A 16,469-nucleotide genomic window follows, 5' to 3' on the forward strand; every position below is an offset into this window, starting at 1 on the left:
CTCCTTTATAAAATGATAGCTATATAACTGTGAAATATGATTATATTACTCCTTTTAAAAATTGCTACAATGATTAAATTAGATAATTCATGTGAATAAATGTATATTTATTGGCTTTCAACTTTTTGGCTGTGTAATTTAATCAATTTACTTAACTCCTGCACCTCAATTTTCTGATTTTTAATGTTTGCCTTATTATAGTAACTACTCAAGGGATTATTGTGAAGATCTTATACATGTTAGTTCTTTAAGTAGTGACCATTAAGTACACGTGATGATGATGATGATGATGATGATGATGATATACTGACTGCCTGGCTGTAGTAAACACCAATCAATTGTGATCATTAATTTTTATTCTCTATGCAGAACTCTTTAACTTAAAAAAGTCCACCTTCAGTAATTTATAATGTGTTAACTAATAACATAGTTGTTAACTTCACACTCTTCCTTTCTATTTCAATGGTCTATTTTTTATTTTCTTCCTAACTTTGTATCTGTCTTCCTTTCTTTCTTACTAGGTAAGGCCTGAATATTTTACACCTAACTTTAGAAATGCCCATTAAGTTATATAAAATAATGAACAAAACATGTAAGTTGAACTAGAAAGAGCACTGGTCTTAATAGAAAGAGAGCTGGGTTCTAGTCCCCATTCTGACACTTTCTATGAGAGCTTGAGGTGAATTATTACTTGGAATCTAAATATACATTTATTACTTCTGCTCTTGAAACTCAGCTCACTGAAGGACCATTATAACTCTTCTTGTCTCCTAGCTTCTAGTTGTCTCCTGACCTTGAAGTTGTTGTTTCTGCTGCCACCTTCCTCCTTTACAGCATCCATTTCAAATTTGAAAGTCTCCTTGATTATATCATGATTGTTTCAGAAGAGCTTTCTCTTTCAGTCCATCTTATAGAAAACTGACAAGTTAGGTTGGCTGGCCTTTAAACTAGTACACTGCACAGTCCAAACAGCCAAAATGAGGAGAGGGGCCTGATGACCCAGAACAGAGTTTAGGAAACTCTATTCTGCTGGTGTAAGCAAACGTTTTTCTTACAAGGCAACAGGTATAGAAGGCAATATGACTGATTCATATAAAACAAAGTTTAAGACTATGTGCCTGGGCCGGCATTTGGCACCAAGAAAATAAAGCTGAATAAGACATAGTTTTTGCCCTTCAGGAGCTCATAGTCTAATGTGTTAAATAGAAATTACATTGAGATAAAATGAGTGCGTAACTGCTATCAAAAGGTATGTGCTCTCTGCAAGGGCAAAATAAAAGGATCTTAGCTTATGTTGGATGTTAAGAAACATTTACTCTTTAGAGTATGATCCTTGAGCCTGAGTCTTAAAGGATGAGCAAGAATCTGGAAAAAAAAAAGTGTCAGAAAGTCATTCTACATCACAGAGACATGGATGAAGAACAAAGGTAAAGAAGTGTGGCAGAGGACTGGAGTGTGAGTGTGTGTGTGTGTGTGTGAGATCCTACAACTACCGCCATATGCTGGGTAACAACATTTTGGTCACCAATAGGCCATAGCTAGGGCGGTGGTTTTATAAGATTACAATACAGTATTTTTACTATGCCTTTTCTATGCTTATGTATGTTTAGATGTGCAAATACTTACCGATGTTTTATAATTGCTTACATTACTCAGTACAATATTATGCTTTATAGGTTTGCAGCCTAGGAGCAATGGGTCATACTCTCTAGCTTAGGTGAGTAGTAGGCTAAACCATCTAGGTTTGTGGAGGGAAATGATGATGTTTGCATAACAACAAAATTGCCCAGTGAAGCAATTTTCACAATGTGTCCGTGTAGTTAAGTGACACATGACTGTGGCTCAGCACTTCTGGTCATCTAGAGAGTAGGACAGATGATTAATACATGAATGAGAAGGGAATGGGTATAGAAAGAAAAACACTGTGAGGGTCAGAGCGGGTGGTTAAAGACATAGAAGAGAGGGAGAATAACTGATGAATCTCTGTCCTAGCGGAAATGAGAAAAGATGAGATGGAGAGAATTGCTGGATGGAGTGCTACTATAAAGGGCTTCTCTCCCTTGAGACAGGAGGAAAGGAAGTAAAGAAAGGAGTACAGGTAGATAAACATTTTGATGGGGAGCAGAGTGATGAGGCCCATTTCCCCAGTGGCTTTCATTCTTCTGTGAGGTAGTTGAGGGGTTTGCCTGCTATGAGAGTGTATAGGGTGGTAAAAACCTTGAAGAGAAGGCCAATGTTTTGGCATATTCACTAAAGATCCCAGGAAAGAAGAATCACTATGTGTAAGTAAACAAAATAACTAGTGAAAAATAAATAATCAAGAATAAGTAAAATATTAGGCAGCATAAAAGGTCCATCCAAGATTGTGTGCAGTGAATTTGTTGATAACAATAAGCAAGGCTGGATGATTTCCACCAACATTGTCTTGTTCCCTGGCTCTAGGAGAAAAGAATGCAGATTGTAGTTTTGATCTTTTTCTATGCTCTCTATAAGTTTCCAGTTAGGGTTATGCTTTTTCCAGAAGAGAAGGTGGGAGGGCTCTTAGTAATAATGATTCAGGTGACCAAGCTTGGGGGTCAGGCTGGCAAGGCTTATGGCAAGAGCTAGGTGGGGAACAAAGAGAAGCTGATTTTCAGGATAGTGTGAGGATCACTCAAGCAGAGGACTTTATGAGGTTGAAGAATTGGCGGAATGAGAGAGATTATTAGAAAGCTATAAGATGAGGTGATGTGGTGAGTCAACAGTATAGTATGAGACTGCTGGAATTACTGATGTGATAATAATTCTGGGGTTGATGCTACAGGAAGCTAGAGCTAATAATAGTTCAAATTAGGCCTAATATTCAAACCGAACAGGGGACGTAGTCAAATGATAGAAAATTTCGACTCTGTTTTCTGCCCCATGATCTGGCATAATGTTTTTAAGGAAGGATAACTCAATGGCTAGACTTTTGTATAGTATCTTCTTCTTGTTTTCCCCCTTGTCCCACCTCCTCATCATTTTGAAACAGCTTTACTTTGAGTCCTATAAAACCCCCAGTAAGCAAAGTTGTAGACTGTGAAGCTCTACTTTATTTGGTGTAAATAATCAAAGTTACTTAAGGTTTTACACATATTACAAAATTGCTGGGGTCAGGGTCAGGAGGAAGTGTTTCTGGCCCTTGTACATTTGCTGAAAGTTTGAATCAGGTGAGAGTGAAGGAAACAAGACCCTAGACAAAATAAAGAGGTAAACATCTGTCACCTTTGTCCTCCTGCTCCTTGTGTGACGAAGGTTGCCATGGTGCTAGAAGAGAACAGAACTCAAAGAAAACAAGCAAAATGTACTGAACGTAATATGAGGAATTTTTTTAAATCTTTGATTTTTTTTCCTCTGACTCAGACTTGGTGAGAAAATTTTCTGACTCACTCAGTATGTTATATACCATGTTAACAGTAACTTTTTCCAATATAGCATATACTCCAACCAGAGTAGTTTCAGCTTTTCCTATTTCATCCTGGGGCCCTCGGGGATGCAGCTATTGGGCTACTGTGTGTAGTTTCTGGTGATAAAGATTTCTGATGTAAAGGATTTCCAAGGGATGACAAAGTCCATGATGAGGGACTGGGTGTGGACAAAATAAGTGGTTTGGAGACAAAAGCCCTCAGCTTTTAAGGTGCGAAACAACCTCTGCCCTTTGTTTTCAAATAAGTCATATCTGGCTGATCAAAATAAATACTGTAGCACCATTTGGAAGCTTCCTCTGAAGAAAAATGCCTGCTCTGGGCCAAAAGCTGCAGCAGTGAGCCTGTTCCTGCCAAAGTGATTTTTCCCCCTTCTTTGTTCCTCTTGATAATCCTAACAGTCTTTTGTATGTACACAGAGCTGAAAGCTATAATAACCCCAATTTTACAGATAAAATAACTAAGGCTCAGGAACAGAACGAATCTTCCCCCAAAGTGCACGGCAGGACGGTAGTGAAGCTGGAGCTAAAGTCTGAATCTTCACATCCTGCTCCCTTCCTGCATGGCCAGCCTGGTCCCTGGCAGAGAAGACCAGTGTTTCTCCATGAGTTCATGTGCATCTGTGCGTGTGTCCTCTGTGCACTCAGGCCTCCAGGACTTTTGTCACCGTCCAGAATCACTGGTCTTGACCATGACACATTCTCCAAGAAGCTGAACTCCCGTTTTTGTTTGTTTGCTTATTTTTACACAGTAGCACATCTGTGTGCAAAAAGAGAGAATGTGGTGTCCAAGCTGCAGGATCTGACCCCCGAAGCCTCGCCAGCGGCGTCTGTCCGGCTTGCTCTTCTGTCTGAGCTGCGCTCCGGGGAGGCGCCTGGCTGTTTAGCCGCCGTATCCCCTGGCAATCTGTTCAGGAAAATAGACCAGAAAGGGCTGCCCAGGGCTGCGCCAGCTTCAGAATCCTGCTGCCATCTAGGGATGAGATGAAGCGTCTTCCCGCGTACAGCCGCCCTGATGGATCGCTGGGGCCTCGGGCGGGGTGCACCGCTGTCCTTTCGCCGCCGTCCGGGCGGCACTGCACGTGCAGCGCGCGGTCCCCCACCCAGCGCAGCCCGCAACACCCCTGGTCTGCCGCAGGAGACCCTGCCGATGCCACTCAGGGTCAAGACTCTGGCGCGGTGGAAACTGCAGAGCAAAAGGAAACACAGACAAAAACAGTGAGAAGGTAAAAAGAGAGCGAGAGAAAACAGCTAGGGAGCAAGGAGCAGAAACCCTGCAAGAACAGAGACAAAAAGCGGAAGGTCCATCAGCGGAAGCGGGCTGCCCTAATCACCTGCGATGCGTGTGTTTATGGAACCTTGTCACTGTCACCACGCTGGTGTCCACACGCAGCTTAATGAGGTCCAAAGCGCCAAGCTACTTTATTTTCCATATATGATTTTCAATGTTTCCTTTTGCAAAAAGGAGCGGGGGCTGTGTAGGGGGGAGTGCAGGGAATAGGGTGGTGGAGGAAGTTAAGGAGGGGAGGGGGGAGAGCGGAGAGGCTGGGTGGGCGGGGGAGATACTACTGCCTTTAGTAAAGATTGCATAGAAAATCCGGAAAGAGGAGACTTATGGAGTTAACTTTATTGTCTTATATTATGGTGTAAGCATCTCTTTCTTCTACAAACAGAACAATGGGCCTTTCAAAGAAGGGAAGGGGAGAGGGTTGACTGGTGGGGGGGTGGGCGGTGGGGGAAAGGGAGGGGTCAGGGATTGGGGAAAGGGTCCTGCTGTTGACTGGGAGGCCCTGCTGGGAAACTTCAAATCACATTCTTTCTGAAAGGAAGTGTTATTAAAAGTAACTTTAATCCTTCCAGCCAGACGGCTCATAAAAGCATACAATTAAGTCAAACAAATGACAAGAGCATTTTCTCTCCTACCTGTTTCCCCCTTCTGAGAGTAATTAGTACAGGCTAGTCTTGTCTCATTTCGTGCAAATAGAAGCAGAGCGCGGCTTTGGTAGGTGCCAGATTTTCTCTTACTTTCCTCAACCTGCCTCTTCCTTCCCTATCGCCCCACCCAAAACCCGGTTCAGCTCTTGGTACCAACCAGCCTGTCTGCAGATCCAGCCAAGAACAAAGGGGCGAATTTCAATATTTCCTCTTTGTGCAAGGTTAATTGAAAATCAAAAAGTCACTTTTCAAATGTCATATTAAACCCGCCACTGCATCAATTTCCTTTTGGTGCCCATCTCCATAGGCAAGAGAAAAGTGTTTTGCGGGGGAGGGAGGCGGGGGAAGTAAGGACACAATGAGGGAAAAGAGAGAGAAAGAAGTGAAGGGATTAAAAAAATCAGAGATACACACACACTTTGATTGCAGATAGGCTAACATGCAGCGGAAAATTGTTTCCCAGAGTGTCCTCAGTCAAAGGCAGCCTTTACATTCGATACTGCGTTACTTGATATTCCAGAGACAGAACTGCATCCTAAACCTAGAGAGATTAGGCCTCCATGTTTTTATGTTTTAGTAGATGGATCACAATATGATTGTCATAAATGCCATCAGATTTTAAAACCTTAAAGGGTAATGTAATAACCTGATCATCTTCATTCGCCCTTCCCACTTTTTATACCCCTCTGAAACAGGTACAGAAACACACAGACATCCCCACAGATAGAGATACAGCCCTATGGGGTTCTGACAGTCAGTTTTTGTCACAAGGTATTTTGGAAGTGTTGGGCTGGAGTTTAATGATCTAGCATCCTTAACTTTGCTTCTGGCCCAGTGACTGTTCTCTGTCTGGATTTCCTGACACTCAGTTTTCTCCTTTCTAAAATAAGCCATAGTATCAGCCTCCTGAATTCACTACTCAGACTACATGAGGGGCCACATGAATAGAACAAACCCATACTGATGCTTTACCCTCTTCTCACGTTCCCTAGGTCTTGTGCTTGATTAGGTGATCTTAACAAGCTCAGTTTTCTGGAGTGGGAACCTGGCTTGTTGGTGCCAGTATTCCTGAGGTCTGCAGAATGGCCTGGGGATAGAACTCTCTGTTGCCAGGCTTCCTCATGCTCACTGTGTGTGTTTCCCGTGCTCCCTGCCGCTCTGCTACACTCACTTGCCAGTCGTTCCTGAAGCCAGTTGCTTTCCTGCCCAATTGCTTTGGTCTTTCTGTCTAATATTTGTCACCTTATTTTCCAGGTATGGGGCTAGGGGTGTACCCTCTCCTATGATGTACCAATGAATCTATTTCCTGTGGACCAGCCATGGTAGATAAGCCATGATAGGCTTATCTACCAGGAAATATTTGATTTACTACAGCTTTAACTTCTAAATATGCGTACAAATAACTTTTTGGTTAGATAAGCAGAGTGAAGAAGCAGAATTGTAAATTGAATTCATTCTAAGATGACCCACCTGCATAAACCAGGCCCCTAAACCTTTTTTCATCTTCAATAATATTGTAATATTGTGGTGATATCAGATGTGCCTATCAACCCTAAATGAAGGGTAGGTGGAGAAGAACATTACAACTCTCTAAACTCATTAGAATGCAAAGATAGAGAGAGTTTCTGTAACAACAGCCACTAGCTGTGTCAAAGTTCTCCTAGTGGCATTATCTTCATTGGTAAGATTGAATAGACAAAATCAGTGTCTTACCCTTTTAGATTTCTATCAACCCATACCTGTATGCAATATGCTGTGCCCTAGTAGACTCTTTCTTACAGATTTTCATTAAAATATTGCATCTGTTATACAAGTTTTCTTAGCATGCCCAGATAACAATTACTTCTTCATTGTGCAGCACTTCTTCCCATATAAACTTCTGTCTCGGTCCATTCAGGCTGCTATAGCAAAACACATTAGACTGAGTAATTTGTAAACAACAGAAATTTATTTTTCACAGCTATAAGGGCTGGGAAATCCAAGAATAAGGCACCAGCAGATTTGATGTCTGATGAGGGCTCCCTCTCTGCTTCACAGATGGTGACTTCTTGCTATTTTTTCACATGGTGAAGTCAGTGAACAAGCTACTTTAGGCCTCTTTTATAAAGGCGCTAATCCCATTCATATGGGCTCTGCTCTCAGGATGTAAACCCCTCTCGGAAGCCCCACATCTTAAAACTATTGCATTGGGGATTAGGTTTCAATATATACATTTTGCGGGGGACAAAATCATTTAGATCATAGCAGCTTCTATTAGCTACTGGTAACAATTTGTTGTAAATAATTGGACATATGTGTGTCTCCTTCCCACTCTCCAAACTTACTGAAAATAAGGATCATATCTATCCACTTTATAGTTCAGGAACTTAAGGGTAGATGTTTAATAAATAATTGTTGGAGGTTGAAGAAATATAAAAAAGAAAATGCATCTGGGACTGTAATAGCATAATATCTAGATATTTTCCAAGCAATTTAGTAATAAAAACCAAATTTGTCATCGTGTTGGGCCAGCAAAAAAGCAATCAGATGGCTGGATTAATTAATACCTGCAAACAATCATGTTAGAATTTTCACATATAGTCTAAGTTGACAGAATATGCATGTGCATCCCAAAACATTCTTTTAGCTGGTGAAGCTGTTTACTTAAGACATGCTTACAGTGAAAATTTGCCAGCATGACTTCTGTTTCCTTAGTCCACTTGAGTTTATTAATCTGATCTAGAATTTCCTGTCCTCAACACTACCACTAAAATGAAAGAAAGAGAAAGAGGGAGGGAGGAAAGGAGAAAGGGAGGAAGGAAAGAAGGAAGGAAGGAAAAGAACGAAACTTTGTATTTAACAGATACATCTACTCTGGAGTTGAAGTGGAATTCTGACAAGCCAGTTGGGCAATTCTAAAGGAAAACTTTTAAATTCCTACTTTTAAAACATTGGATGGTGAGAATAGTAGGTTATTGCTGGTTATCACTATTATGTTATATTTCTACAGAGAGATTCTCCAGAATCTTTAGAGGGCTCTCATTGAATGTGGAGTTTAAATATATGAGTAGAATTTATTTACAGTGGTAGAACTGGGAATTGGAACTAATGTATGCATAGTGCGAAGGAAAGTCTGAGAACTTGGTTTTAGTAAAACTGGCATTTTGCCCTGATACTTCCTTTAATCCTCTATATAACCTTGGGCAAGGAACTAAATCTCTCAGATACTATATCTTCTATATTTTTAAAAGAGAATGTGTTGGGGAAGGCAATGGGTGAGACAATGCTGATCTAACATATGAATTATGGTGAGAATCAAATGAGTCAGTATCTGTGAAATTGTGAAAAAAGTTACATGCATGTTAGAACTAGAAGACATTATTTATTACTTATATTTTAGTAACCTATCCAAATATATTGAATGCTTACTTTATGGTGACTTTGCTGCTCTGGTGCCAGAAGCTGGGCTCCAATTTGCCTGAATCTCTTAATGAAATCTGCTAGTGCAGAGTGTGTCATATTATCAAAAATTTTTGCATTGTCTTTTGATGGTAAGTACACACATATTCAAATATCTCAAAAAGCCGCTCCTGTTGAAAAGATGGATGTAAGTGTTCTAAAGTCCGAGAGACAAGGGAGCTGTGGTAAAGGTTAGGATAGCTTTGCCAGACCAATGTCTCTTCTCATTTATGTCGCATGCTTTTTATACCCTTCATACTCTCTCTTTTTAACAATCTCCTTCTCTCCCTTAATGCTAGTATTTTGTAAGATATTCAAAATGTGTATTTAATCCATCCAAGTTTGTAGTCTCCAGTGTCAAAGCTTCTGCTTAATGCTGAGTTAATGCTCAGTCGTGCCAAAGCTTGAAGCTTTCAACGCAGCCCTGAAACCAGCTGCGACACATCTCTAACGCTGAGGCTTTGGCTCCAGAGACTGCTGCCTGCATGGAGTAAATGCATCATTTTTTAAAGCTTTGTCAGTGCAGTCTAAGAGCTGTGTACAGTGTAATTGGGGATCTTTGAAAAAAATATATATTTGAAACCATTTTACAAGAATCATCAGGGGAGGCTTGCTTGAAACTTTTTCTTCTTAACATCTCACTGCCCCAGAAACAGGTCTATCACTTTGGGTAGTTTTTGCTTTTGAGCAGATTGTTTCTTTTCTTCAACCATCTTTTCTTTTTCAGTAAGCTGAAGTAAATACATTTGAGAAGGGAGACATTCTTCTCTGTAGTCTTAGAATGACAAATCTTGGAAGGAAGAACCTGGTACATCCTATCGTAGGCCATTGCTTCTCCAGGTGTGGTCCATGGATCAACAGCATCAGTGTCTCCTGGGACCTTACTAGAATGCAAATTATCTATGGGGAGCACCCAGGGATCTGTGTTTTAATAAGCCCTCAAGGTGATTCTGCTCAACATTAAAGTTTGAGAATCATAGCTCTAGGTTATCTGAATTCAGAAATTCCTGATATTGCATCCTTGGGAGATGATTGTACAGCCTCACTCAGAACATTTTAAGGATGGGAGACTCACTATATTAAAAGCCACCTGAAAAAAAATCAACCTATTCTGTGAGTAAATGTTTTCAAAAAGTCATTTTAAAATGTATTGAGAGATACCTACTTCTATAGCATTCTTTTTGTTTTTATTCTTCTTATCTTCAATGCTTGGCATTGAGTAGGTGGTCAATATATTTGTATTAAAATGAAGAAAATATTGGCCTTAGTTTTGTTTTCTAGACAAACCTATCTAATCCAATAAATCCATCTTATCTTTATTTCATGAGGCAGCCTGTCAGATATTGAAAGCTACTAAGATGTGCAAGTCCTCTCTTCTTTAAGTTAATGATGGCTGGATTTCTCGCATCCACGTCAGAGGACACTGCACACAAACTCAGGCATCCCCTGCTGACTGTCCTCTGGAAGTGGACTCTTTATCTTCTAGGAACAATGAAAAACCTCAGAACCATTACATATCATCTGGAAATAGACCAGAGTTTCCTGTGTATACAAATGCAAATAATTTTTAATAGAACTTAGAACTTTAAAATTAAATCTATTAAAATTGACATTATTAGTTCTGACCTGTTGAACTTTTCCTCTGTTATTCCTTCTTTATTGACAGTATTTCCCCTGTGTTTTAGAAGGCTAAAAAAGTTGTGTAAATAATAAATGCTTCTTAAAAAAGTATATAAATTAGGAAGGCAAACAAGAGAAAAATAAACACTTATAATTATACAATCCAGAAGAAATAGTAATTAGTAATTGTCTTTCTCCTTCTCTCTGCAGAAATATCTATATCTATACATACACATGCCCTGAATATATGACCATATTATAATTTGTATTATTTAGAACAAATCTTGATGCAAACACACACACATACACATCAGGTATCCCAACTTAGTTCTAAGTAGGGATTTGACATATCTGATAAACCTTTGTGGGATGTCTGCAACCTCTTGGAACGATGACGGATCCAGGCACCTTAGTGTGAACTATTAGCTTGGTGCAAAAGTAATTGCAATTTCTGCCATTACTTTCAATGGCAAAAACTGCATTTACTTTTGCACCAACCTGATAGTTAGAAATCCTTCAGAACTTTTTGTCTTTAGAGTTGTCTCCCAACCTAATCTCCATTTGACTCATGTTTAAAAGCTGTAGGAAACAGAAAATCTGTAATTAGAAACAGCAAATGCTATTTCTTCTTTTTTTTTTTATTTTGTATTTTGAGACAGAGTTTCATTCTTGTTGCCCAAGCTGGTGTGCAGTAGTGCAACCTTGGCTCACTGCAACCTCCACCTCAAGGTTTCAAGTGATTCTCCTGCCTCAGCATCCCAAGTAGCTGGGATTACAGGTGCCCGCCAACATGCCTGGCTAATTTTTTTGTATTTTCTGTAGAGACGGGGTTTAATCATGCCAGGTCTTAAACTCTTGACCTCAGGTGATCCACCCACCTCGGCCTCCCAAAGTGCTGGATTTACAGGCATGAGCCACTGCGCCCGGCCCAGCAAGTGCTATTTCACCTACAAACCTGCATCCTATTAGAACCCAAGCAACTTAACTGGCAACACAATGGGAACAGGACACCCCTTCTCACTTTACCATAGGATGGTACTCAGCCTTGGCCCTCCAAGAGCTGCCTGGTGCTGCAGGGTCTCAGGAGGGTACCAGGAAAACACTGGGGCCAAGCAGTGCCTGGGGGCTTGACATGATACCGAGACAAGAAGAAAGGCAGGGTGCACTGCAAGGCCTAGAGTAGAGTGGCAGCATCACCATTGTGCCAAGAGCAGTGGTGGCTTCTGAAAGGAAGTAGTTCTGCCTGAAAGAACAGCAGGAGAGACTACATGGCCAGTAGGGCAGGCCTAGGCCCTGTTTGGCCAGGCATGGAGGACACCTTGAATGTTGACTTTTAACTGAGCATCTGTGGATCACTCTGAAGTGATCTGCGGAAAGTTTTGACAGTGAGATTTGTTTAAGGAATTAGGTTTTCATGAGCAGATAAGGCAACAAATTATTTTAATTTGATAAAATTGATTATATTCTCAACTTTTTAACAACTTTATGTGTCTGTGTGTGTGTGTATGTGTGTGTGTATATGTATGTATTTTCAAGATAGGGTCTCACTATGTCATCCTGTCTGACGTGCAGTGGCTATTCACAGGCACAATCATAGCACACTGTGGCCTGGCCTCAAACTCCTGGCCACAAGTGATCTCTCACTCCAGCCTCCTGAGTAGCTAAGACCACAGTCACACAACCACCATGCCTGACTTATAACACATTTTTAAAACTAACTCTTTACCATAAACATTGTCTTATGCCCATAGCTATTCACAAAACATCATAATTGTTAGTGGCTGCAGAGTATCAAGTACAATGTACCAAAATGAATTTAATGAGTCTCCTATTATGTGACTGTTACGTGTTGAATATGTCCCCTACCACAGTTTATATGTTGAAATCCTAACCTCAGTATATCAGAATGTGACTGTATTTGGAAATAAGTCTTTAAGGGGGAAATTACGTTAAAAAAGAGGACATTAGGGTGGGCTTTAATTTAATACGACTGGTGTCCTTATAAGAAGAGATTAGGACACAGAAGCAAATAGAGGAAAGATCATATAAAGACACAAAGAGAAGATGGCTAGATACAAGCCAATGAGAGCAGCCTCAGAAGAAACCAGTCTTGCTGACACCTTCATTTCGGACTTCTAGCCCTGTGAGAAAATAGATGCCTTCAGTTTAAGTTATCAGTCTGTGTTACTTTGTTATGGCAGTCCTAGCAAATTAATACAGCAACTACTACTCACAATGTTTATTTAATAAATAACATTTGTACATCCTGCTACACATCACTGATTATTTTCCTAGAATCAGTGCTGGAGGTGAAATTATTGGTTCCAAAAATTATTAATAATTTGTATTATTAATTCTACTATAGAGTATATTATTATTTTCAACTTTCTTTTTTTCACAAATGTAATACATTTGATTTTTTATCTCCATGTTGAACATAATAAGACCAAGTATAAGACCAAATTGTGTCCTAAAGTTCATAATTATAGGGTTCCCTTCCAATGAACAGTCATGCACCCACAGATTGCATGGTGCTTCATCACTGGGCAGCAGGATAACTGTCATTCAGACCACATTCCATACATCTTAATAATGTATAGAAGATGCTTCCTAGAATTAGAGGATCCCTCTTGGGGAAATAAGGACCAGATAATTGCCTCTAAAAATCACCCCCCTCAGCTGGAAAGGGAAATATTATACTTACAAGGGTCCTTCAGGCTGTTAGCACCTTAGCATGTTTGTGCTAAGCATGTTAGCTTAGCATGTTTGATGGTTTGATTTTTGAAAGCAATTAATCACATTGTCCATCAGCAAGGAACAAGACATTTCTCTATTTTACTCCAGGATAGCAGCACCACTAAGTTTTAGATAGCTTCACCTGTAGATCCCTTTAGAAACATTTCTAGAGCTAGGAGAGGTGGCTGCAGCCCACAGAAGTCCCCTGGAGGTGCTGGTTTTCTAGGAGAGTGTTGTATGGTGTCCACTGAGAACATTGTCATGCTACATACCTGGCAGAGATAATCGACAATGAATATTTTGTGGATTACCTTGGGAAACCAATATAATTCATTCAGGAGCACATGTGAGAATATTCCTAAGACCATCAGGGGAGAAAAAATGAGATATTTTCTATGAAATGGACTGAGCGGGGAGCAAGCATTATAAGGATTGGAACCAGCTGAAACCCTAAGAGAGACCTGGGAAAACAGAGAATGCATATATGAATTTTATCTTGAGAACCACTCTCTAAAACCCAAGAGAGAAATTAGAAGTATACTATTCTCCGTAGTTCCTGACATTTCCCATCCTCAGAACAGGAGCTCTGAGAGAGACATGGGATTAGAATGAGTTTTTCAAAACCAACCAGACCTCAGGATTTAATGTTGTGGCCTAGTCTCTATGGAGGGCAGCTATAGTAGAATGGTTAAGAATAAAGCCTCTGAGCTTCACAAATTTGCAGACTAAGATATTTGAACTTCCATTAATTAAGACCATTATCTATTTCTACTTTGAGTTTTTCTCCCTTTCACACTTGCTCTTTCTCAAGATGGCATTAAAATGGCTGCAGGCAAATTTGCACTGAGCTAAGGGAAAGTTGATTTGAGGATACATTTGGATTGATATAGTGGGATATGGTTAAGTGATTTGCAATCCTTTTATGGATGATTAAGTTCTTACTAGATCAGAGGATGCATGGCTATCCAGGACTTTTCCTATTTCCGACTGTGCTGACTCGAAGGACTTGCGAACATGAAAGCATAGGGTCAGGGGCTGACTGTCCTATGAATGTGCCGTTCAGTTCCTGGCACCCAAAGGATTGGGCAACTGAAGGAAAATCAACGAGTGAAATGTGTGTAGCGAGATCTAATCAGCAGAAAATTTTTCCAAACTGTACTGCTCAAGTATGAAGGAAAGTTGATGGAGATTTCCCCAACTTTGATAGCAATCTGAAAATGTTTTCCAAATTCACCAGAAACAACATGATAAAACTGAAAGCCTTTTTGTTTTTTTTTTTTTTTTTGACAGAGTTTTGCTCTTGTCGTCCAGGCGGAGTGCAGTGGCGCAATCTCGGCTCACTGCAACCTCCGCCTCCTGGGTTCAAGCAATTCTCCTGCTTCAGCCTCCTGAGTAGCTGGGATTACAGACACACACCATGCCCAGCAAATTTTTGTATTCTTAGTGGAAATGGGGTTTCACCATGTTGGCCAGATTGGTCTCGGACTCCTGACCTTAGGTGATCCACCCGCTTCGACCTCCCAAAGTGCTGGGATTATAGGCGTGAACCACCGCACCCAGCCCTGAAATACATTTTTTAAAACTACAGCAGTAAAAATCAAAGTTCAATCTTGTTAGGAGAAAGTCTGATTTTCTATTATCTTAGAGAGAATATTATAAAATCTTATGAATAGTGTACAAGCACAAGTGTAGAAAAAATATGAAGAGATAAACTATGGGTACATCCATGCAATGGAATACTACTGAACAATAAAAACAACGGAACTGTATATGGGCACGCAGCTTGAATGAATCAGAAAGTTTTTTTTTAGTGGTAAAAGTCAATCTGAAAAATTCATAATAGTATATGATTTCCTTTGAATGACATTACGCAAAAGGTAAATTATATGGAAGGAGAACAAACCATTGTTTTTTTAGGGAATAGGGTTGAGAGATGGTTTTAACTACAAAGAAATAATATGAGGAAATTTTGGGGTATGATTAACTGTTCTGTATCTCAATTTTGTTAGTAGTTACATGTATCTACATGTAGATACATGTAGATAAGCTGTATATCAAAACAAAGTTAATTACATAGTACATTAATTTAAAGATTGCAAAAATATTTTCAAAATTAAAATATTATATAGGTGTTTTAGGAAATCAGTATTTTTATACCATTATATAGTAATATCTGGAATTTTTCACCTTTAAAAATTATAATTTATTTTCATTTATTTCATTATACTAAATAAATACTAATTTAAAAATATTGTTTGTGATTTTTTGTTCATAATATTGTATTGATTTCCTGAAAGAGATATTCAATTGCCTAGTTCTCAGGATCCCACAAAACCCAGTCCTGTCCCGACTATGCTGGGGGAGACAGCAAATTGAGAACCTGTGCAGTGAAAGAATCATAATTGGCCCAAATATTTCTGTTTGCTAGAGACCGCATACTAAAATCCTAGCATCAGTTATTGGTTATATACAAGTTCACTGTCAGCTACTGTGGGTGAAGAAGGTGAATGTGGGGGATATTCTTAGACACTATGACCCTATAGGCAGAACCTTGCATGAAAGAGGAAAATTAGAGCCATAGGCAAGAAGGCAGGATTTAGTGATGACAGAACAGCAGAGATGCCCTGGGGCTACTATACAGCCTGTTTTTCTAGGAGGAGCCTATCCTGGCCATGCCACAGATGGTACCTCTTAAGGACTTCAACCATAAGGCATGATCTGGAGGCTATTTAGGGTTTGAGTGACAGATATGTACAGTAGAAACTTCTAGGATGGAGCAGGTTTCAATTTGTGTATAGATTTGCTAAATAGGTTTCCATATTTGCTATACAGTGGTTTTTACTTTCAGTATAAATTAAATACTTTAGCAAAGTTCTGCTGTGGAGAGTAAGGTAATGCAGACATCAGCGAAGCATCGTAGTGTCTTAGAATTTTGTTTTAATTCTTGGCCTGGCCACCAGATTAAGGTTGGAATATAAAGAACAAAGATCCCAAGGAAGTAATCTGGGATTCAGATGACTTCTTTGGTCCTTGGGTTTTGACTAAGAGGAAACAGGAGGCTTTGGCAGCTGATGACTTCTCAAAAGCAGAAGCTAGTTGCACTGGATGGGGGATTTGTGCCATCTTTATGAGCATGTAAAGGACAGAGATGGTATGCAGACTCCTAAAGTGACAACTACTGTCACCATGCCCTAGAATGGCGCAGAGCTAAAAACAGGACAGTGACGCTTTGCAAGCAAATATGAGAACAGGTGAGCCCAGCTATGGGATCGTACCTAAGAATCTCTACAATAATTTA

The 16,469-nt window shown here is 39.9% G+C and overlaps 2 long non-coding RNA genes across 2 annotated transcripts in view; one reads left to right on the forward strand and one right to left on the reverse strand.

The window, feature by feature from the left end:
- Positions 1–3,051: 3,051 nt before the first annotated feature.
- Positions 3,052–16,469, reverse strand: part of LINC01901 (long intergenic non-protein coding RNA 1901) — an 84,572-nt gene continuing 71,154 nt past the window's right edge. The window contains exon 4 of the long non-coding RNA NR_187474.1: positions 3,052–4,628. This is a non-coding gene — a long non-coding RNA (long intergenic non-protein coding RNA 1901). The remainder of the gene's footprint in view (positions 4,629–16,469) is intronic.
- LINC01902 (long intergenic non-protein coding RNA 1902) overlaps positions 4,465–16,469 on the forward strand; it is a 48,285-nt gene continuing 36,280 nt past the window's right edge. The window contains exon 1 of the long non-coding RNA NR_151703.1: positions 4,465–4,668. This is a non-coding gene — a long non-coding RNA (long intergenic non-protein coding RNA 1902). The remainder of the gene's footprint in view (positions 4,669–16,469) is intronic.

This window comes from Homo sapiens, chromosome 18 (assembly GCF_000001405.40).
Source record: "Homo sapiens chromosome 18, GRCh38.p14 Primary Assembly".
Taxonomy (NCBI): domain Eukaryota; kingdom Metazoa; phylum Chordata; class Mammalia; order Primates; family Hominidae; genus Homo; species Homo sapiens.